The sequence below is a fragment of the Homo sapiens genome, chromosome 5 (assembly GCF_000001405.40).
Source record: "Homo sapiens chromosome 5, GRCh38.p14 Primary Assembly".
NCBI lineage: Eukaryota > Metazoa > Chordata > Mammalia > Primates > Hominidae > Homo > Homo sapiens.
Window position 1 is genome coordinate 37,915,869 of NC_000005.10, and position 22,852 is coordinate 37,938,720.

The following is a 22,852-nucleotide window of genomic DNA, read 5'->3' on the forward strand; positions in this document are numbered from 1 at the left end:
AAACGGCTCAGGCTTTCTCATACAACCTGTTTTTTCAAAATCCTGCAAAGGTGTTTAAAGCATAACAACTAAGGTTGTCACACCCACCCCCCCCGACTTCTAGGATTGTTCCTGATTCCCCCTCTTTCTCTGTCTTCGGAGGGGAAGGTGGGGGGCTTGGGGAGAGGTTGCTGTGGGGTGTGCTGGAACTGCTGCTCAAGCTGGTTTGGGACAGCACCTCTTCCCTCAGTGACTTCACACTAGTAGCCTGAAGTTAGCCGTGGTGGGAGTATTGACAGCACGGAAATCAGCAAATGCTACTAATTCAGGATTTTTTTTTCCTCCTCGGAGAACATGTTGTTAAATGTTTACCACCATACCACATGTCACAGGTACTCTCTGGGGAGTTCCCAAATAAAAGATATGAGTGTTTTTACCGGGGATTATATTTAAAATTTTTCTCCAAAGAAGATTCTGGATGCCTGTGGTATTAACACCACACTTTCATAAGATATCTAAAAGCCAGTTCAAACGTTTCATACTTAAACATCCAGATTCCTATCTTCCCCCAGCTCTAAATATGTTCCTTCCGTAGTCTTTACCAGATCAGTAAATGGGAACTTCATTATTCCACTTATTCCAGTGAAAAATCTTGGCGTCATCTTTCACTCACACTCCACATGCTGTCCAGTAGCAAATCCTATTGACTTTGCCTTCAGAATACAGAACAGCCAAGACTTTCAGCTCCACCGTTGCCACCAGGTCCAAGCCACCGTCATCCCTCATCTGGATGATTGCAACGGTCTCCCGACTGGTCTCCCTGTTTCTACTCTTGTCCCTACAAGTCTGTCTGCCACAGAGCAGTGAGAATCATCTTGTAAGCATGTGTGTCCTATTACGTTGCTCAGAACCCTCCAATGCCTTCCCATCTCACTCAGAGGAAAAGCAAGGCTTTGCCAGGCCCTGGTGATCTTTCTATCTCCTTCTACTCTCCCCACTTGGTGTCTCTCTCTCTTACTCTCTCCCTTTCTCATTCCACCCCCTTGGATATACTAGTTAATTTGCTATATTTTTGCTTTTACCAATCCTAGAACGTAAGCTCCAAGTGAGCAGGGCTCTGCTTTGTTTGCTGCTATATCTTCAGTGCCTAGAAGAATGCTTGGCTTATAGTAGGCAATACTTATCGAATGAATAAATGTTTGTGAGGGTGTACACACAGTGAGTGTGCATGTGTGTGCATCAAGCCATATGAAATTGACAGTATGTGACCACTTTTGACAGTTTTTATTACTAGACAGTATGGAACCTCAACCATCATTTAGTTCAACTCTTCATTTTACAGATGAGCCCCTTGAGACCATGAAAAGGCAGATGACTTGCTTTAGGGACAGTTAGTGATGGGATCACGTTTTCTTTTTATTAGCAAAATGTTTTTGCAAGCAGAACACCCAGGTAATGTCAGTGATGTTTGGGATATTGGTCCTTCCCATTATGGTTTTTGTCTTCATCTCTGAGCAGAAATGCTTTCAAAGAGACTTTCCTCCCCTTTGGGTAGGATAATGCTTTCCGGATCACTCAGAGAAGGCTCAGAGCTGCTCCTGCATCACCATCAATAGGGTGTCCTTCTGCACCAGTTGAGTCAGGGCCAGGAAGCACCTTCTGCTTACTGCTTTGGGCCTTTGGCGAGGAAGCTTGCAGCTCAGTGCCTTCGGCTGTGAAATCTGGACTTAACTATAAGACTTGAGCTAGGAACACTTGGAGCATGCCTAGAGCCACGTGGCTTTTAAAATGCCAAAGTCCCAGCTCTGCAAGCATCCTCCTGCATATTGGTGCCAAGACCCCTTCCTGAGGAGTCATGTCTTGAGGAGAAAAGATCTCAGTGGCCCTCCTCATGAAAAAATATGAAGGGGGAATGCTGACTTCTTTGGTATATCTACTGTATAGTAAAATTTGAATGGTTTCATCTGATGTTTCCCAATAAATAATGTTTGATGTGAATTTATTGCTTAATAAAATTTACCAGAAGGGAGAAGAGTTGGTGGGAAGACATTTGGATTAATTTTCAAATGAATCAGGATTTAAGAGCAATTCAGGATGAAAACTCTCATGCTGACACTAAACAATAGCAACAAAGCTTGAAGTTCTTTTTCTGTGATATTGCTACTCTCAATTATCTAAAGGTTACATTTGGCTTCACCTGGAAAACCCTTTGCCCTTGGAATTCTTTAGCTACAGACTTGCATGCTTGGGTTTGAGTAGTTATGAATAATTTTCCTTAAAAATGGATGCAAAGCCTCCTAAACAGCAGGCTCAATTTGTTGAGATACATTTCACACATTTTCTTCCTGAACATTGAATCACTGGACTTCTCAAGGCTACACCTGACATCAGGATAAGTAACCTTTCAGGATGTCTGTACTAAAAACCAGGGCTTTGTCTGCAGAGATGTGGAAAAGTTTGCTAAATTCATTCTGTGCTTACAGTTGTGCTAAGAGCTAGATTTTCATAAGTCTTACTCAGTAGCCATGTCTATACTTGTGTGTGTGGCTACCTAATTTCCTATCAGTGGTGCAGCAAACCACCATGGCACATGTATACCTATGTAACAAAACTGCACATACTGCACATGTATCCCAGAACTTAAAATTACACACACACACACACACACACACACACACACACGTAAAGAATTTCCTATCAGAATTTGGCCCTCTGTAGAAGCTGGGAACATGTGTATGGGTTCACTTCCTTGGCTGGCTCCCATATCCTCTGTTATGGGCTTTATCATATCTTTCTTCCAGAAACTGGAAGACTTCCCAGCCTGAAATACTTCCAAAGCATGTGATCCACCTTCCTCACACTACAGTTTTGAGTTTGTGAGTGCAGCTCTGGTGACTATTGCCTGGATTCAAACCTCAGCTCAGTTAGCCATTAGACTTTGGAGCAAAATCCTCTCCTTGCTCCAGTTTCCTCATCTGTAAAATAAGAACAATAATAGCACTGCTGATCTTGCAGGGTTTTTGTAGGGATTAAGTAAGCTAATATAGGTAAAGGATTTACAACCCAACACATAGCAAGCACTCAACAAATATTATGATTATAATACTATCCCAATGTAGCTACATTTAAACAGATTCCCTCAATCATCAATGACTCTCCCAGTACTATCTGCTTCTCCAAGATAATTACATGTCTGTTCAAATCATCTGGACCATCCATATGGTCATGTTCTTCATTTTGTAAGTGCTGTGTAATGGCATTTTCCTTCAGTGACCTCTCTTTCTGTACTTCCAGAACTTTCTGGCTCATTCAGTAACAGCCTGGAAGTACTGTCATGGACTCTCTCATAACCTTCCTTCCTATTCTGAAGAACTAAGGGTTTTTATTTCTAACTAGACAATTAATGTATTTATAAACATACCCATGGCCATGTTAAACTAGCTGTAAAGCAGTTTAATTAGAGACTGCTCATTGACAAGCCCTACAAGTATTGGGCTGGTATTCTCTCAGGAAAGGTGAAGCCACTTATGCTTCGTGAACTATTCCTGTCACTTATGACAGGTGGTGGGAGCAGTACACCTTAGCAACCCTAGGACCAGGTGGAGGGCAACTGGACGACCACCTAGAGAATGTCAGATCCAGTCCAAGGGGCAAAGAAAGGCCAGAGGCTCAGGATGAAGTAAGCATTAGGATATCTGAATGGAAGCCACAGAAAGCCAGGAAGGAGAGTCCCAGAATTGTACCCTTGAAACAGGAGCCCAAGGTCACTGCCTACAGGGTAGGAGAGGCAAGGCAGATGTAGTGCAGATGGTCAGTGAACAGATGATGCAGTGAGTAATTTCTGAGACCTTGTTGGCTCAAGCCACTTTCCAAGGGCCAGGTGTGTACTTACCTGCCACCCAATATCAAATAATTCCAGAACCACCTTTAGGTCTTGGCCTACCTGTGTAAAGGATAAATGGATATAAGCTTGTGTTATAATTCAATTATAATTAAAGTCTCCACCCACATTTGAGTCCACTGCAGACAAGAACTCAGTAAATGCCCCCTCCCTGGCTTCCATGCAATGCTCTCCTTTGCTTCTCCTCCTACCGCTTTGGTATTACCTTTGCAGTCTTCTTCGCAGGCTTTTCTTCATTTCCGTTTTAAATGTTGATGTTCCTCAGAATTCTTATTATCCTTCTCTTCTCTTCTCATTCTTCCCCTCTCTGTATAATCTTGTCTATATTTTTTCCTGTTTCTTAAAAATTCTATTAAAAATAGTCCTGAAAGACTTAAAATGTGAAAACCAGTCTCCTACACCAATTACTCCTATCCTGTGTCCATTCTCACTCAGTGGAGACAATGATTTTTTAATTATTCTGGTTGTTTCTTTTGATAGTTTGTCTCTTTATTTATATAATATTTTCTACTGCAAGTTTTTTATTTATCAATTTCAGACAACTTCTGAAATTAACAAAATTCCTCTAACGTAGATGAGGATTTCGCTGTCTTGGATCTCCCAGCACTTCCCTCCCTGATACCCCAAGATGCTTATATTTTTTGTTAAACCAACTATCAGCATTTATAATATCACAACTATATTCATACTATTCACTTTAAATTCAAGTAGAGGACTATGATAATATTTACTTTCTAGTATCTTTTTTATGTCTCCTGGAGTCCATCAATAATCACTTCTAATTCTCGTGGGTTCTTCAAGGTAGTTATTGTTTCTTTTTTTTTGGAATGCTGCATAATATCTGTCACAAACCTATCAGTAGTTTTTTCTAAATGATTGCTCATATATAGTTATACTTCAATTCTTCCCCTTTCTTTTTCCTCAGTCCCTTTCACCATAGCCCTCCCTTCTCCTACTCTGGCCAGATCCCTTGTTCTCAGAATCCACTGGCAAGGGTATTCCTATGTTTGGTGAAGAATACTGTCTGAAAGCTCCTAAAGGAAAGGTGCATGGGAGTTAAAATTCTTTGAGTCCTTGCTCACCTGAAAATGAGCATCTTCTCTGAGCAGGCTAGGAGAAATGCTTTCAAAGAGACTTTCCTCCCCTTTGGGTAGGATGATTTGCTTTCATAATTGATTGGAAGTTTGGATGGGTCTGAAATTCTAGAATCAAAGCCATTTTTTGTTGGAATTTTCCAGGCATTCCTTCATGGTGTTTTTGGTTCCAGTGTGGCACTTAAGAAGTCTAATGCAGCTCTTTGTTTATTTCTTATTTTTCTTTTTCAAAAAAGGCATAGTCTTTTTTAAAATGTCAAAATGTAAAGCAATTAGTATTAAATTATAAGTTGATGGATTTTTAGAGATGTATTTGCCCATATAACCCCCTTCAGATCAGCAACCCAGAAGGTTACTTTGTGCCTGTTTCCTGTCAATACCACCCCACCCCCATCCTAGAGATAACCACTTATCTGACTTCTATCACTACAGATTACCTTTGCCTGTTCTTGAACTTCAAATATGGAGCCACACTCTTTTGTGCCTGGCTTCTTCTGCTCCATAATGGATCTATGAGATTCATTCATATCATTGTGTGTATTAGCTGTTCATTTGTTCTTATACCATGTACAATTCTAGAGTTTATCCGTTCTTCTGTTGATGGACATTTGGGTTGTTTCCTGGTTTTGGCTACTATGAATACAGCAGCTATGAACACCCTTGTACCTGTTTTTTTGGAAGACACACATACTAATTTCTCTCAAGTAAGCACTTGGGAGTATAATTGCTGAATACTAGAGTCAAAGACACTATCAGAGAGTTGGACAGTTTCTCAAAGTAGATGAGTCACTTTTCACAATGCATTAGAGTTCCAGTTGCTCCATTTCCTCCCAACATGTGGTATTGCCAGCCTGTTTAATTTTAGCCATTCTTGTGGGTGAGTAGTGATGTCTCGTTTAAGTTGTCATTTGCATTTTCCTAATGCATGATCATGTTAAACACTTTTTATCTGTTTGCTGGGAAGTTATCCTCTTTTGTGAAGTGCCTATTCCAGTCTTTTGCCCACTAAAAAAATTGACTTGTTTTTCTTATTAATTTGAAAGAACTCTTCATATATATTCTGGACGCAAGTCATTTTGATATATGTGTGGAGACTATCCTCTCATAGGCTATGATTTGCTTATTCACTTTGTTAGTGGTGAATTTAATTTTACCTAAATCCAGTTTATTCATTTTTATGATAGTGAGTGCATTTGGTGTTCTGTTTAAGAAATCTTCGCTTATGTCAAGGTCACAAAGATATTGTATATTTTCCTCTGGAATCCTTATTTTATTACTTTTATATTTAGGTCTATAATCTACCTTCTGATATCATTATTATTTTCATTCCTTTGTATATGAAGTGCATTGTCCCACCCTGAGAGATTGTGGTTGTGTGTTTAACCTAACATAGGTGTTTTGAAATTTCACTGTTACATGCTTAGATATAGGTCTGGATTTGGTCACTGGGTACATACTTGGAGGGTTTTCTCAATCCGGAAACCGGTTCTGCAATTCTGGAACATTTTGGGGGGGTATTATTTCTTGATAATTTCCTTCATCCTCTTACCCTGTTTTGTTTCTAGAATTCCTATTAGCCTGCAGTTGGATCTCCAGGATTGATTGTCCAAGTCTTTAACTTTTCCATTCTTGTTTTCTATCTGACTTTTGCTACACTTTCTAGAAGATTTCTTCAACATCACTGTACTGCTTTTCTATTGATCATTTTATTAGTTATCATTTTTAAGTTCTAAGAGCATTTTACTTTCTTGAGTATTTCTTTGGGGGGCCAAGTCAGCTTCTCTGCAAGCACTTTATATTAAGCCTTTTCATTTAAAAATCAGTTTTCCCTCAGCCACTTTCTTCTGAATGTGTTGTTCACTGCTATCTGCTTTTTGTGGTTGTGTGTTCACATCTTATTAAATACCCTAATAGTATGCTGGTGTGGTCTTGGGAGGGAGAGGAGACATATACTTGCCATCAACCTAGAATCTCTCCCATGGTTTCTGCTCCCTCGGTTTATTCCCAAGTTTATTTTTTTCATGTATAACCAGCTCTTAAATTCCAGATATATCAAAATTCCTGTGGGAAAAACACCACCTCCAACTCAGTACATCAATGACAAAATGCATCATTTCTACCTACCCCCTTCTTCCTTCTGAGTTCTCAGTCTCAGTGAGTGGCAGAAAAACAAGGACTCATTCTCAACTTCTCTTACTTCTTTACTCTCATATTGAATTCTCTCCAAGTTCTGTTGATTTTTTCAAATGCGTCTTTTATCTGTCCCTTCCTCTTCATTCTCACTGTGTGGTTTAGTTCTGTATTATTACTCATCTATACAATTGCAATAATTTCTTTCCTAATTTCTTTGCTTCTCCTCTCAACCAATCTCTTCTAACCCATTCTCCATACTTTGCCACAGTGCCTTTCCTGACACTAGGATTTGAACTCCATGAGGGCAGGAACTTTGTCTTTGTTCACTAATATATCTCCAACTCCTAAAACAGTGCTTTGCTCTTAGTAGGTATATTAGCCTGTTCTCACATGCTAATAAAGACATAACCCAAGACTGGGTGATATATAAAGGAAAGAGGTTTGATTGACTCACAATTCCACATGGCTAGGGAGGCCTCACCATCATGGTGGAAGGTGAATGAGGAGCAAAGTCATTTCTTACATGGAGGCAGGCAAGAGAGCTTGTGCAGGGGAACTCCCATTTATAAAGCCATTGAATCTTGTGAGATTTATTCACTACCACGAGTAAAGTATGGGGGGAAACTGCCCCCATGATTCAATTATCTCTACCTGGCCCCACCCTTGACACATGAGGATTATTACAATTCAAGATGAGATTTGGGTGGTGACACAGCCAAACCATATCAGTAGGCCCTCAATAAATATTTGTTGACTAAATAGATGACCAAATAAATCTGACCCTGTCGCTTTCTTACTTGGGAACTTTCAATGCTTTTACTCCCCCTCCCTCATCACTTGCATAATAAAAGCTGAACTCTTTATCATGACATGATCTAGCACTGGTCCAACCTCATTTTCTACCTCTTCCCTGCTCACCTGATCTATTTTCTTTTCTTATTAACACTGATTAGCACTCAATAACTTGTTCACAGACAGTGCTATAATTTCTCAGGAGTGCAAGCTTTTGCACATGTGAGAGCCCCTCTGCCTGGGACACCTTCCTGTTCCTTTGCCTGACAAGTTACTATTCATTTTTAAAATTTTATCACAAGAGTTACTTTCCTGAAAGAGGTTCTTCTGGACATTCGAGGCTACCTTAGGCTTTCCCTTCTTTATGATCTTATTACACATTTTGTACCTCCTTAAGTACTTTTATCATAAGTACTTTCATCAATCTCTGGTTTCACTCTACTTTTTGGTATGCAGGAAGATTATACTTTTTTGTCTCTTTGAAATTACGTATAGCCATGTGGCTCTATCTGGCCAGCAAAATATGAGTGGAGTTGTTGTGCTGAAGCATACTTTTAAGTGGGAGTGCAATTCTCCATCTCTTCTGCCATCTTCCAAGATAATCAGCTACATTCTATGTAATGGAGTCTCCGTTAGCCTGTGTCTCCAAATGTGGATGAAGTTGAGCAGAATCCCCGACCTGTGCATGATGGACATATAATATGAGCAAGAAACAAATCTTTATTGTTTTAAGCTGTTGAGATTGTTTATTACTGTGGTATAACCCAATCTATCCTGAAAAACATACTTCCACATAGTCATTACCCTATCTCTTAATAATAGCAGTTTACCATTTCTTTGAGGTCAAGGGCCATATTATTACATTTCTTTTTAGATTAGGCACTTAAAAGGTTTGTTAGTACAATGAAAGAAAAGTATTTTCGGACACCTGTGATGTGCCTGGCACCGTACTAAGGATTTTACTCATGTTATTTAATCCTCAACAACAAATAGACATGATTCCCACTTTACTGACAGAGAAAGAAGCTCAGAGGTGTTGAGGTGACTTTCTCAATGTCACACCGCTGGTGAGAAACAGAATCAGCCACCAACCAAGTAGTTCTGATTCTTCAGCTCACACTCATTCTATTACATGCTGCCCTGGGAGTAACAGATGAAGTATGCGCTGTCTGTGAGGAGGTTCCCATCCATGCAGACATTCCTGTCCTGAACCTTGTACTGGACAACTAAACAAGCATCAAACAAATCCAAGTGTCAAGTAAGTGATTAAAAAAAATTGGAAACATTTTTAGGATCTAATGGGAAATGGAGAATCCTTTGGATAACTTTTCAGTTCCTAAGGAAAAGCCAATCACATCCTGTGTGTTCAGTGAGAATCCCATCTGCGGCCCAGTACAGAAGCCAGTTTCAGAGCATTGCCTGTTCGGCCCTGTTTTGGTTGGTGTGGCTGACTTCTGGAGCCATTTCCTTGGTGGCATTTCTGAACATGTACTAATGATCAATGACAAGGCATGGTCACACAGTCCAGCCTCTAGCCCTGGTATGGCATACTCAGAACATATTTCCTCAAGAGTGTGTCAGCTAGGTTCTCAGGCAGCTATTAGATGATGGATTGAAGTAGACTGACAGGGGAATGAAGACATACTCCAAGCCTCATGGAACTGTAGCTTTGAGCACGGTGACCCATTGAAGGAAAAACCTCCATTAAGGGGCTGGTACTCAGGCCAGAGAGCACTTCCAAGAAGGAGGGAATAGCAGCCTGAGAGACAAAGGGGCTGAATGCCACTAACTGCCCCATGGAGGGTTTTCCCATGTGTGGAGGGAGTAAATTTTGAGAGAGAGTCTCAAGGGATTGCTTCCTGGTTGATGTGACCATCAGAGTTGGGCTTGGCCCTAGAAAATTCTCATTTCCTTTTAACTGTTATTCTTGCCCCTCCATTGACTTTTATTTGCATTATTTGTACATTCTTTCTACTCTGAACTTTAATAGTGTATAACATGCATTTGGTATTTTTCATGTACTATTATATTTAATATAATACATATACATATTTGGGGAATTTGAATGTCATTTGCACAAGCAGTTTATATGTTTTTTGAAGACAAAGTGGGGCTTATATACCTTGGGCAGGCATATAGCGTGGAGCTTCACACATTTCTAGCTCTGTTGTCTGACCCAGTTTGTGCCACTTCTTTGCTGAAACAGCTGTTGGTGACCAACAGCATCTTTGATCCTGAGGGTGTTAAGGAATCAGAATATGAATACAACAATCCTTTGCTTGTTTTTAGATCATTTAGATCCTGGTTTGAACAGCAAATTTTCTAAAGTTGTTTCCTGTGTTTTGGTAGAGTTCAGATAGCAAGGGTGTTTCAATTGTACGGGGATTTAATTTATAGAGGTGACTGAGTGACCACACGGAGGGGTCAATGCCATTGAAAGAAGAGTTTATTATTTTCAGTTTCCAGGAGGAGGGGACACAATCTGCCATACAGAGCCACCTGGGGAAGCACTAGGGTCAGTCAGGAGGCAGAAAGCATGAGCACAGCCTTTATCATGGTTTCTGCAGGAAAGGCAGGCGAGGCAGAGTATTTAGGTTTGGCTGGTTCTGAGCTATAATTTTGGTGGTCTCCAGTTATCTGGTACCTGGCCCTGGGGTGATTTAGGGCAGTGAAAGATTGGCTTGGAGTGTGAGAGTTGGATAAATTAGATGACTGGGAATATGGGCTTTGGATTTCTTGGTTTGCACAAGAAACATGTGCTCAAAGGCAAGTTGTTTGGTATCTGTAGGAATTAGCTAATCTTGGGAGGGGCAGTCTCTCCCCAGCCAGCAAGGTCCCCAAGATACCAAAGCATCACAAAATATAGATAATAAGAAACATGATTAATTCAAAAACTTATTTCTATAGAGACTGGACTAGAAAATTCTGAGAGGCTTTTCACCTATACCAAGCCCTGGTTTACTCTTCCCAGCAATACTATGAGGTGGGTGTTATCCCCATTTTACAGAGGAAGAAACTGAACCTCCTTGCCCAAGTCAGCCAGCTGGCAGCTGAGGGATTAGGGATTTAATCTCCAATTCCGCCACTGCACCTTGGGGTTTATTAAACCACACAGAGAAGATAGTTTGGCTCCATCTGCTGCTTGAGGCAGCATTGAAGTTAAGGCCCTTGGAATATGAATGGCAGTAATTAGGTCTCTGAGTTTAGGACCAGGCTGAGCAAAGGAAAGGAAGTTCATGTCTGGGCTAGTGCTCACAGGCCCTGCACTTCCTTTATTCAGCTGGGTGTCAGCAGGAAGGGTTGACTTTTTTTTCTTAAGCTAAGCTTCCAATTTGGACATACATCAAAATCCAAGGCGAGGCCTGAAACCTTGGGTGTCTGTGAATTTAACATGTTTGTAGCTGCTTGAGGCTGCTTGACAGGCCAATGTCAAGGTTATGGGGGTGGCCAGGCTGTACCCATTGACGTGTGCCTGTAGCTGGACACTCAAGCCAAACCCAGCAGAGAGTGGTCCCAGCAGTGGGGAGTCAGCTTTTGGCAAGGAGTGTGGTTGGCTTGAGAGGGGATGAGCACAGTTTGATTCTGTGTTTCTTTCCTTCCCCGCATGGACAGTTCCCTCATCTTCCTGTGCATGGGTGATACACCAGAGACTTAAAACTTTGCTACCTGTCTATTTTAGATTGCACTTTGAAAGCAGAATTGCTGAAAATATATCGTTGCTTCAATGACTGCCCAATGGCACCCTTCCATTCCAAGTAGGGTGCCTTTGAGTCATGTAACAAGGGCCAGGCAAAGGAGACTGCTCTTCAGGAGCAAGACCAGCCACACCGTCCAGAGGAAAGTAGATGTGAAGTGTGTGGGGACTCTGGAGCTAGACCGTGGACCTTCTAATCTTAGCACCGCCACTTCCTGACTGTGACCTCGGGCAAATGACTTAATAAGAACTAACACTTACAGGTTTGCAAACCCCTTTACATAGAACAACTTGTCTAGTCCTCAAAATCAACTCTAAGGAAGGTAGAGTATTGCCTCCATTTACTGAAAAAGAAACTGAGGCAGAGGAGATTACATAACATGCAAAAGCCGGACTCTAATAAATGGCAGAACCCGTATTCAGATTCCTTCCTGCAGTCTGGCTTCTGCTTCCATGGCTTAACCACAACCACTACACTTTCCTATTGCACTTGAGCTTGCAGCATGTTCATTTCCTCATCTGAGAAATGCATGTTATAATAACCCTTGCTGCATAGGATTGCTGAGGGATGTATTGGGATAATGTGTAGAACGGGTTTGACACACACTAAGTGCTCAATAAGTGTTAGCTTTTATTACTCATTATAAGCTGGTGTGTCCTCCATTTTTTTGTATTAGTTGTTTTTCCTCGTGCTCCTTCTCTGGGGCTATAGAAAGTGAGAGGAATCTGAGGGCTTATGCTGTTAGCTAAGTTTAGAAAAAAAACATCCTGGAGCATATAGTAGCTGTACTAATATCCAGTGTACCTTCTGACCTTGGTAAACCTCTGATGGGTTCTCTCCCTGTACAGTCTCACTAGCCACACTCCCCACTGAGCCTGAGGCCTTGCATCCGACAGGATAAATCAAGAGTTGTGAACATGCAGGAGCCCTGGTGGGACCTCGGGTGGCTGACCTGTGACAGCGCCTGGGCGCTGAGGAGGTGTCTTCTCTCAGGTGGGCTTATTGTTTGTGCCGTGTCTATTCCATTCCAGCCTGCCCCCACCTCCCAGTGCCACCGAAGCTTGGAGAGGCACGATGATGTTCCCCCAGGGAGGAGAAGGGCAGAAAACTTCCTCTGGGTGGATTCTGTGCAACCAAAGGAGGAAATGGGAATGGAGGCAATGAGCCTGGCTAATTTTCCAGGCTTGTTCCCATAATCTAAGTGAACACTCTGCATCTCTTAGCCCATCCCTAACCCCTGACATTTTTCTCCCCTCAGTTACCCTAAAAGGGTGAAACAGATTTATGTGACCACAAAAAAGAGTGTAATGACATGTAAGGAAAGATTCTTGTCTATAAAAGTGATTAAAAGGTAATGAGAGAGTGAAAAGTCTCCATCCATGGGGACTTTAGAACCTTTAAAAAAATAGTTTTCCTTAGCCGGGCATGGTGGCATGTGCCTGTAATCCCAGCTACTCAGGAGGCTGAGGCAGAAGAACTGCTTGAACGCGGAAGGCAGAGGTTGCAATGAGTTGAGATTGCACTACTGCACTCCAGCCTGGGCGACAGAGTGAGATTCTGTCTCAAAAAGTCTCAAAAAAAAAAAAAAGTTTTCCTAATTAGAAGGTATACATACAGTTCTATTTTGAAAACATAAGAAAATATCAGTCAATTCTCCTTCCACATTCCAGAAACAATCTTCTAATATTTTGAAGTACGTTTTAGACCCATTAAAAGTTGCACATATGAATATGTATTTTTCAAAAAATTGGGATTATTCTGTATTACAGAAATTGTTTTGTTTACATGTTATCGCATAAGAATTCTCTCTTGTTATTATATATTTTTAGAAACACAGGAGCATGGTAAGTAGAGGGCAGGTAGGGCCTGGTCTTGCATGGGTTTGCAGCATGGAGTCAGGGTAATGGATCAGGAAACCTGTGTGGAAATCATCCTTTTTCTCTTTAGTGGACTGAAGCAAATTTAGTCTATTGAAAAAATTGAATTTTAAATTAAAAGATTAATGTTATTACTTAGAGAAAATAAAATCTAGAAAAAAAATTAACACTGTTTGTGCAATGCGTGTTTCCATGATAAAATTCCAGCATCAATTTTGGAAGGTCATTTCTGAGTGTGGGCAGGGTGGGAAAGGCAAAGAAACAGAAAGGAACAGAGAAGGAAGGTTGTGAGTGTGCCTGATGGAGACCCACAAGGACCTGGGAGGTGGGAAAAGGGGGCTGGGGGTCTGATTCGAGACGGACTGACAGCTCACTGGGCTTGAGGCATGCCCCTCAGCTGTGCAGGTGAGCTGAGAGAACGTGTGGTGACAGTCAGTGCTGGTCACCAAATATTCCAGATCTACTTCCAGGCACACGGTCGGGTGGTGGCTGCCAGCTCCCCTGTGGTCTGTATGGTCGTGTGGCATGTTCTGGCCAGTACAATGTGAGTGGAAGTGCATCACCCTTAGGTGGACGCTTTAAGAGCTGGTACAGGGCTTCCCATGTTCCCTCTGCCACTGTGATTGGTAAGGTCCCAGAGGTGGCAGACATCTTTGGGTCCCAGAGCAAGGACGACACAGACCAGAGTCCACAACTGACCTGTAACAGACACCTTTCCTTTGAAGGAAGAACTCGTGGGTTCTTACAGGGAGCTGACTTGATATAGATGGGCACTCTGGTAATGGTATTTGGCCCTGTGGACCCAAATGTTAATTCAGGACAAAAGATGGAAGAGACTGAGACTCAAAAGAGGCTAGAGCCATTGTTCACAATAGAACCCACCAGAAAGAAGGTAACCCAAGGGTAGTAGTGGGTTCCCAGAAGCCACAGGGAACAGACTTGATGTGGGCCAAAGTGGTAATGATCACACGACTAACTGCAGACTCTGGGGTAGGACCCAAGGGAAGACTAGAGAAGTGTTGGAGAAGAAATTTCAGCCTTGGGTCTGAGAGGGTGAGCTAGGGTTCTACCTGGAATGACTAATTTTATGTCTCATCCTGGCTATGGTGCCGGTTCCAGTTGTTAGGTCAAACACCAGTCCAGATGTTGCTGTGAAGGTATTTTTGTAGATGTGCTTAATGTATACAATCACTTCACTTTAAATAAAGGAGATTACTCTTGATAATGTGGGTGGACCTCATCTAATCAGTTGAAGGCCGTAAGAGCAAACATCAGGGTTCCTAGGGCTAATTTTTAAAAAATAAATCTCTCTTTCTGTTTATATATTTTTAATTACAGAAATTCATATATAATATAGATCATATTTCTATAATTATAAATATATAACAAATTCATATCATATTTCAGTAATTAAAAAATATTTTCTGTAACTGCAACCTTCTCAGTGCCTGTTTTTAGCAATGCTTCTGTTCTTATTCAGTAAATCTCTTTAAAAAAACAAGAGATATGTATGCATATTTTGGACACAGTCACTTGGGAAGAAATCAGGAGTCTAGCTTTTTCTGAAGAGGGCCTTTGGGGAAGCAGAGCCCAGCTCCTGGAGCCTAGGGAAAGAAGGGGGGTGCGAGGTGTGTGTTCTGGCTACAGAATGATAAAGCCCTGCCCTAAAGAAAGAGCCACTTAGTTTTTCAAAAACCTCCTTTTGCCACACTTCTCATTCCCCTTAAATCATCAGATCCATTAACCAAAAGCCAAGTTGCTCTTCAGGGAATTGTTTTTCAGTTTTAAAAAGTCTTTTCCCATCCCGAAGCTGTTCCATATGTGTATCAAGGAGCTATCAACTTGAGTTCACATTCCCGTGATCACGTTCCTGGGGGGACAAACCACAGGACAGAAAACAAAATATTTATGGCAATTTTCCTTGGAAATCAAGTGGAACTTTTCAGGGGACTCAGTTCTGCAAACATGTAGCAGTTGAACATACGGTTGGGAAATGGGCCAATTTTGTACTTGCCTCCTCTCTGGGTGCCATCTTTCTCTCAGCTCTCCCCTCAGGCCCTCCCCTTCTCTCTTCCCTAAGGCCCCCCCACATGCCCTTTTGCGCCCTCAACTTGCTGTAATTAGCCCCTCTATACCCACCAATGTCTGGACAATCCTCTCCTCCCCCATTGCCTCCTTGAACCGTCAATCTTTCCTTGACCCTAGCCCCAAAGCCTTTGACTAGATTCATCACAATAATGAATAGATACACCACCACTAATGTGCTAGCTTCCTTCATCTAATTCAAGGAGTTACCTAGCCCCATTAAAAAGCCTTGCTCCTTACTTACTTCCTAATGGAGATCTAGGATGGGAGTGGTCGCCTCTCAAATTCCAGTCATCCACTGGTGTGCAGGAGCTACCTCCCATGGGCTCATGAGAACTGGTAGTTACATATTCAGAAATTTTGTGAGTTGGTTGTTAAACTGTTGGTCATTTGAAATTGCTCATTGTGAGAATGTTTGTCCCCTTGGAAATCAGTAAACACCACAAATCAGAGCTGTCTTTTTAATTCTGAGAGCGAGCTTACCAATATGTCACTGCACTACTCCTCATGGGCTACAAAGTGTCAAAGTGAAGTGTCACAAACAAATTTCACCAGCCACAGGGTGTGGGCTGTGAGTTGGAAATTGAAGTGGAAGAACTTTGTACCTCCTCTGTGGACAAGAAGAGCTTTTATCATTTTTCCCTTTTGTCTTCATTAAATTTTATGATTCTTTTTATGACCTTAATTTGTGATTATGACCTGCCATGTATTTCTTGTTTAAATAACCCTGTAATTGTTTTCCTCTGTATCTTGATTGGAATCTCCTTCGGGAAAGATGATGTGTTTTATAATAAGAGAAGTATTTTAGGAGCCATGTACCAAAATTAAAATTAACATATGCCAGGTTGAATCGTGGGACACCAAGGAAGACATGTTTTGGTTTCTTGAATGTTAACTGGGTCTGAAGGAAATAATTGAAAGGTCAAAATGAGCCTGGAACACTTGTTTATTGAGCCTCCAAAGAGAACCTTTCAGAGGTGGCTAGAGGCCAAGGCCAAATCTACTTTTTTTAGGCTTCTAGAATATAAAAAATGTGAGAAATGCCTTGTATATAGAAAGAGCCCTTTAAAAGGATGAGAGGTTGAGTTCTGGAGGAGCAGATGTTCCTTTTCTAGAATCTATCATGATTAGAACATAAAAACAATGACTTTTTGTAATATAACTATTGGCCTGTCTACCTCTTCCCAGACTGTAGACTCCCTGAGGACCAAGACTGTATTCCATGCCTGTAATTCCAATCCCCGGCATAGTGCCAGGCACTGACTGAATCAGTGCTTGCATAAATGATGGCTTATAAAAAGAAAGGTGTGAATGAATGAATAGAAAGGGTAAGAGAGGACGTCATGCGGTGCTGAAGTTGGTGAGGTCTCCCATCTTCAGTCAGTGGTTCCTAGGCTTTGAATTTCATAGGTGAGTGCATTTTCAAATAATTTTGAAGACAGATATAGGACTTCCAAACTTCTTATTTTGTCAAATAAGTCAACAGTTACTATCCCCTAGGACTAATGTTTTATTAAGAGAAAAGTTATTTTAATATAAAAATTAGTAATTTTCTAAGAACAGAGATAGCAACTTTCTATTGATATCTATTGATAAATATATTGATATCCATCTATATTTTATATATTTGGATATGTCTTTGGCACATATCCTTGCTGGGTATTGGAGAACTTGAATCTTGAGAATCTCATCCAAGTCCAAAATCATTTTTAATAATCCCTCCTTCTGATTAAAATAGCAAAGAAAAAAATTAGGTAACAATCATTGTCTACTCATTAAGTGGATATAGATTATTCATTGTTTGGCATATGAAGCAATAAATTTGAAAGCCATCAAGGAGATGTATGAGACTGGGCTACTCATTGAACATCTGCAAATCAAGACGGGTCTAGCCTTGGATTCTGAAGATACTGGGAGATGGGAGGGATGGTTCTGCTTCTTCTCTGCCCTTTGGGTTTATATGGATAAAGTCATCTTGGGTAATCTTAAATTTGAGGATTTCTGAGGGTTCTCAGGGTCAGCGTTGTGCACAAGTTGCACTTGGAGTTAGAGGTTAAAAACAGCTTAGTCCTGGCAAAATGCCTCGAGGGCAGTGGGAGATCAGGCTGGATGGCTGTCTAAGGTCTGCTTTAAGAGTGTGAAATGCTGGGTGAAGGAGAACGGGCTGAAGTTCTCCATATAATTAGAACCTTCGAATGCTGCTTGTTGCTTTTTTTTCTTTTTTAAAAAAGATAACATGATAAATGGAAGGCTTCCACTCTGTATAGACCGAGCTCTCTAATGGGATGGTGCCCGTTTCCTTCGAATCTGAGCATGTGCATCTGGATCACCAGACACAGCTGCCAAGAATGGGATGGATTAGCTTGAATTCTTTGGCCACTGAGTTCATGCATCCTGGAGTTTAGGGCCTGAGTATAACTTCTGTTAGAGAGAGAGGATTGCTTTGAGCCTCTTCCACTCAATTAGTTTTTAAGAATTCGGAAGAATTATTTTCCAGACAATGGGTGGGACAAGCCAGTATGTTTAGTAGCCATCCCGTAAAAAACAAACAAACAAAACAAAACAAAACAAAACAAAACAAAACAAAACAAACATGAAGCTTTTTGCAATGGGAACAAATGGAGTGAAATTATTTGTGTGATTTGAAGAAACTGCTTATTTCTGGGCTGGCTGATGCAAAAACAGTTTGCATCCTCCTTTGGTGATTTTATCCCCCAAGAATATTACTTACCTTTACTGGCAATACTTTAAAAATATTCTCATTTCAAACTCAGTATGAATAGCTTGAAATTGACATGTGGCTGTGTGATTCTCTTGGGAGTTCAGATCCCCTAGATGAAGTACGGGAGGGAAAAGATACAAAAGAATGACAGCTTTAATTTCAGTAGTGCACTCATCATGAGTGCACATCAGAATGGCACCTTGCAGAACTCTTCGTGATTTTGAATCTTAAGTTTCTCATTAGTATGATCAGTTTGATCAAGCCTACATATATTTTTAAAATTACTATTTTCTTCTATTATTCTTCAGAGCAGCAATTGACATGTTTTATTTGAAAATTAGAATGAGTTGAGGCAGGGAGCAAAGCCCAAAGTGGGGCTTCTTTTGCCCTAAAGTGTGATGAAGATTGAATGACTAATTCTTTAAGACAGTAACATTGAGATCTTGTCCAGAGGATGGATCTCTCAATCTGTCCTGTCAGGCAGTTCTGAGTGTAATGGGCTCAGTGGCCACAGGCAAGGGTGACTTTATATACAGAAAGACAGAATGTTGTGCCATGCAGGCAACCCTACCTGGTGCCTAGAATTCTTCATGCTCAGGAGATAGGGATTTCATAATGATGTTTGGTCTAGAACACTTGACATATAACTGATCAAGCAGAGTGCAAGAGAAACCCAAGCAGGAAGAGTGGAGGACAGAGGAGAAAGACCCTGGGGACAGCATGGCCGAGAGGTCTGGGCAACCCTCCCTTGAGTGTTAGACACACAGGAGGACTAGCAGGGTCAGAGGAGGGAGCTGTGGGCCACCAGGAGCTCTTGTGAAACTTACCTTCTGATTCTGCCCCTTGCAGCAAATGCCCCTGACCACAGCCCCTCTCCCACAATTTCTCTTTAATAGTGATTAAATGTGTTAGCCAGATTTATTATCAGATTCCTAAGAGTAAGGGTAGTATGTAGGTCATGGACCAGGTGGGTTCTGAAGTAGGAGCAAAGAAGGAAAGTCTGAGTCGTTTTGCTAGAGGACTTCTAGAATAATCTGCTATTCTTGGTAATAAACTTTCAGACTTTTCCTATAAGATGCCAAGTTTGTGATCTAGTTTGAAGTCCTTTTGAATGGACCCATCTAATAATATTCCAGGCCCAGCAACATAGCTTTCACAAAACACAGAATTCTAAAATGTTACAGAAAGAAAATTCTTAGTCATGATCTGGCCCAGAGGTTTTTGAAGTGTTTTTTTTTTTTTTTTTCTTTTTAAAGCAGTGGAAGCTTTGCTTCAAAAGAAACCAGATGAAAAAGTCCAACATAAAGTCATTAAAAAATGGAGCAACTGTGGTTAACCCCAGTGGTTCTTCTGAAGTAGCTGAGAAAAGAGGATGAAATGATTTGCCTAGGGAGTGAATTCAGCAGCCCCCAGAATCATGGATGATGCTGCTCAATTCAACACCGTGTTCACGGCACCATGTGGTATTAAATAGTGAATTGACAAACAGTCCACAAGTCTGAGTTGGAGAACTGCTGGTGTGAAGGTTTAGAATGGTGTTGCTATCGTAAAGCTACAGAATATTTAGTCAATATGTGTTTTTGTATACAGAGTAGGGAAAGATGAAACCTAGGATGGGGAGTTTTCTTGTAGACCTGATTCTGGGGACATTGAGAGGACAAGAAATTCTTTCATTTAATGGCGATGTTTTCTTTTTGTTGGTTTGTACTCATAATGTTTTATACTTTATTGTGCATATTAAAGAGTGTGGACAACATCGGTGTACAGTTTAAGAATAAAAGTATGAACATCCATGTATCTACCCCCACCCCGCTGAAGAATGACAATATTTCCAATAATATTGAACATCCCTGTGTGTGCCCTGGTCCTATTAAATCCTCTTGCCTCCTCTAGCCACTAGTATGAATTTTGCATATATATATATTTGCTTTTCACAATAGTTTTAACACCATGTCTGCATCTCTAATCAATCTGTTGTTTAGTTTTGTCTGTATTTAACTTCACAGAAACGGAATCGCTTCTTATCTTGCTTCTTTTGGTCAACTTCATACTCTAGAACATTTCTATCATTGTAGAAAGTTCTGTTGGGCTGCATACCTCTAGATATTTGTCCGTGACGTTCAGTGGAGATTTATCCATGATGTTAATCATTAGCATGCGTTGCTGTATAATGTTTTACTGTTTGAATAACCACAATGCATTTATTCATTTTATAATTGCTGGATATTTGGTGTATTTCCAGTTTTTTACTCCAACAAAATACTTCTGTAATAGTGTACCTGTCTTCTGGTGCAAGAACTTCTCTAAGGTTTACACTTAGGAGTAGATATGCTGGGTAAAGAGTGGGGACATGTTCAAATTTTACCAGGTAATAACTAACTCCCTATTTATTTGACGTCATGTGCTTAGAATTGGATTAACACAATCCAATTACATTAAATACAACCCTTGGCTCTAGACACACTATCATCAGTGGAACATGAAAGGTTGGTCAGTCTATCTGTCTGTCTGTCTGTCTATCTATCTTAGTGAACATACCAAAAATAGATCTTTTCCAATTACTTAATAATTACTTGTGTCATCTTATCCTTTTGCCTCCTCGATGGAGGTAACCACTATCTGGAATCTCATCATTTTTTTCTTAAAAAAGAGTTGTTTTCACATAGATGTATGTGGTAATATGTATGTGGTAATTATGATGTTAACAAATTACTTTAAACCTTAGTTGCTTAAGACAACAATGATCACTTATTATCTTATAGTGTCTGTGGGTCAGGAATTCAGAGAAGGGACATTTGGGTTGCTTGTCTTTGCTCCACAATATCTGAGGTCTCATCTGAAGGCTTGACTGAAGCTGTAGGATCTGCTGCCAAAGTGGCTTACTCACATGGCCGGCAAGGTGGGGCTGGCAAGAGCTGGTAAGTTCCTTCCTCTCCATGTGGGCCTCTCTCCATGTGGGCTTCCCCACGGGGCTATTGAGTGTCTTCATTACATGACAGTTTTATTGAGGGGTTCAGCCATTATTTCTGTTAGCCTAGATTCCACTTTAGGGTATAACATGATGCAAGTTATAACTTTTCTTCATTTTCTTGTTGAAGATATATAAAGGTCTTGAATTTTTGGTAAAATCTAAACTATTCAGGTGTTGATGAGGGCTCATGTTATGACAGCAGTGGGTAGTTCATGCTTTTTTGCTAATAAGTGGAATGAGGGAGCCAGTTTCTCATGGTTGATGGAGGTTACAGGGAATACTGTGGGCTCACAAATCACTGCTGCTAACCAAGTGACACTGGCCACCAAGTTTGAACTCTGGATGAAATAAACATCAAGACATAGAGTAAGAAAGAATAACCCCCACCCCATGCATTCTATTAAAGAATCCCTTCTTGCACACCAGTTCAGTTGTTTCCATTAAAAAAACCAATATATCAATGAATAAGAATAAGATTATTTTATGTGTTTAACATGCAATGTCTGAAAATCCAGGGAATATTTTGTCTTGGATTTCCAGCTTCATTGTCTAAAAACACATAACATCACTTAGCCATCTGAATTAGGGATCCAGGTGCATTCCAATCCAACAAACAAATTTCCCTAAATTATTTTATAAATGTTTGAAGCCACAAGACCCTATAAATACAGGCAAGTTGATGTTTAAAAGAAATCTGTAGGCCCCAGGAGGGTAGCTACTATGTCTTTCCAGTTCTTTATCATGCTCTCTGGTATTTAGCTTAGTGCCTGGCACATAGTAGATGCACAAAACAATTGGATTACTAAATTATTGAGTACTAAAAGAGTGCCTTGGAGCTTTCTTTCTACTTATAGCTATGTGTATTAAGTGGAGCTATTGGGCTTTATATCTTACTTGTCAATACTACCAATGGTTATTTAACTCTGGGAAATTGTTTAGCATAGCTTGGTCTGTTCCTTGAAAAAAACAAAAATGCAGATTCAACTAGGTAATTTTGGTGGAAATGAGCATCTGGGGAGATGGAATTGGATTCCTAATTGGACACTCTAAGAACATTCATGCTTGAATTCTTCCGGGGTGAGAGAGTATCACCCTCCAGATCTTAAGAGTTCTTAAAAGGGAGGTGTAGTATTTCAGAAACAACCCTTTCAAGCCTTAATGCCTTTCATCAAAGGCTTTTAAAGTACTTTGCCTTTAACACGGCCCATGCCTACCTCCTGCCCAGCTTATACACATGCTTCCCTTTGAGGTCAGTGGAGGCTAATAGTGCTGAGAAAACAAGTGAGTGCATGTAGTGGTAGTAAAGGCTGCAACCTTGTCATATTTCAGTCTTGCATGTGAGTGTGCACCTGAGACTTCAGAGAAGTCAGCGGAGGCCAGAAGGAAATCAAGCATGAGCACCAAAGAAAACCAGCTGCCCAATGAAGGAACCTCAGGTCTAATAATTGGACCCTCTCAAAATGGAACAATTTACCACTGGAGGTAGTGAGGTCCTCATTCTTGGAGAGACTCAAGCTGAGACTGACTCACCACTTGGTGGCAATGCTGCAGTGGTGGGGGCGAGCAGGAACCAAAGGCAAGCTAGGGGAACCAGTTTATGGTC

General features: G+C 40.8%; 1 long non-coding RNA gene across 2 annotated transcripts, besides 1 other annotated feature; it reads right to left on the minus strand.

The window, feature by feature from the left end:
* Positions 1–1,280: 1,280 nt before the first annotated feature.
* Positions 1,281–5,041, minus strand: LINC02117 (long intergenic non-protein coding RNA 2117). Of its 2 annotated transcripts, none has more exons than XR_925922.3 (4): positions 4,963–5,041; positions 4,086–4,229; positions 3,872–3,922; positions 1,281–2,954 (listed from the first exon to the last, which is right to left on the minus strand). It is a non-coding gene; the product is annotated as a long intergenic non-protein coding RNA 2117 (long non-coding RNA). The 2 variants fall into 2 exon arrangements; XR_925923.3 differs by having other exon boundaries at positions 2,598–2,954; positions 4,086–4,213; positions 4,963–5,020.
* Positions 22,055–22,634: an enhancer, noted in NCBI's record as "NANOG hESC enhancer chr5:37938025-37938604 (GRCh37/hg19 assembly coordinates)". NCBI's record gives its function as "activates a minimal SCP1, AML or CMV promoter by ChIP-STARR-seq in primed H9 embryonic stem cells {active_cell/tissue: H9 hESC(primed)}" and the evidence as "EXISTENCE:reporter gene assay evidence [ECO:0000049][PMID:30033119]".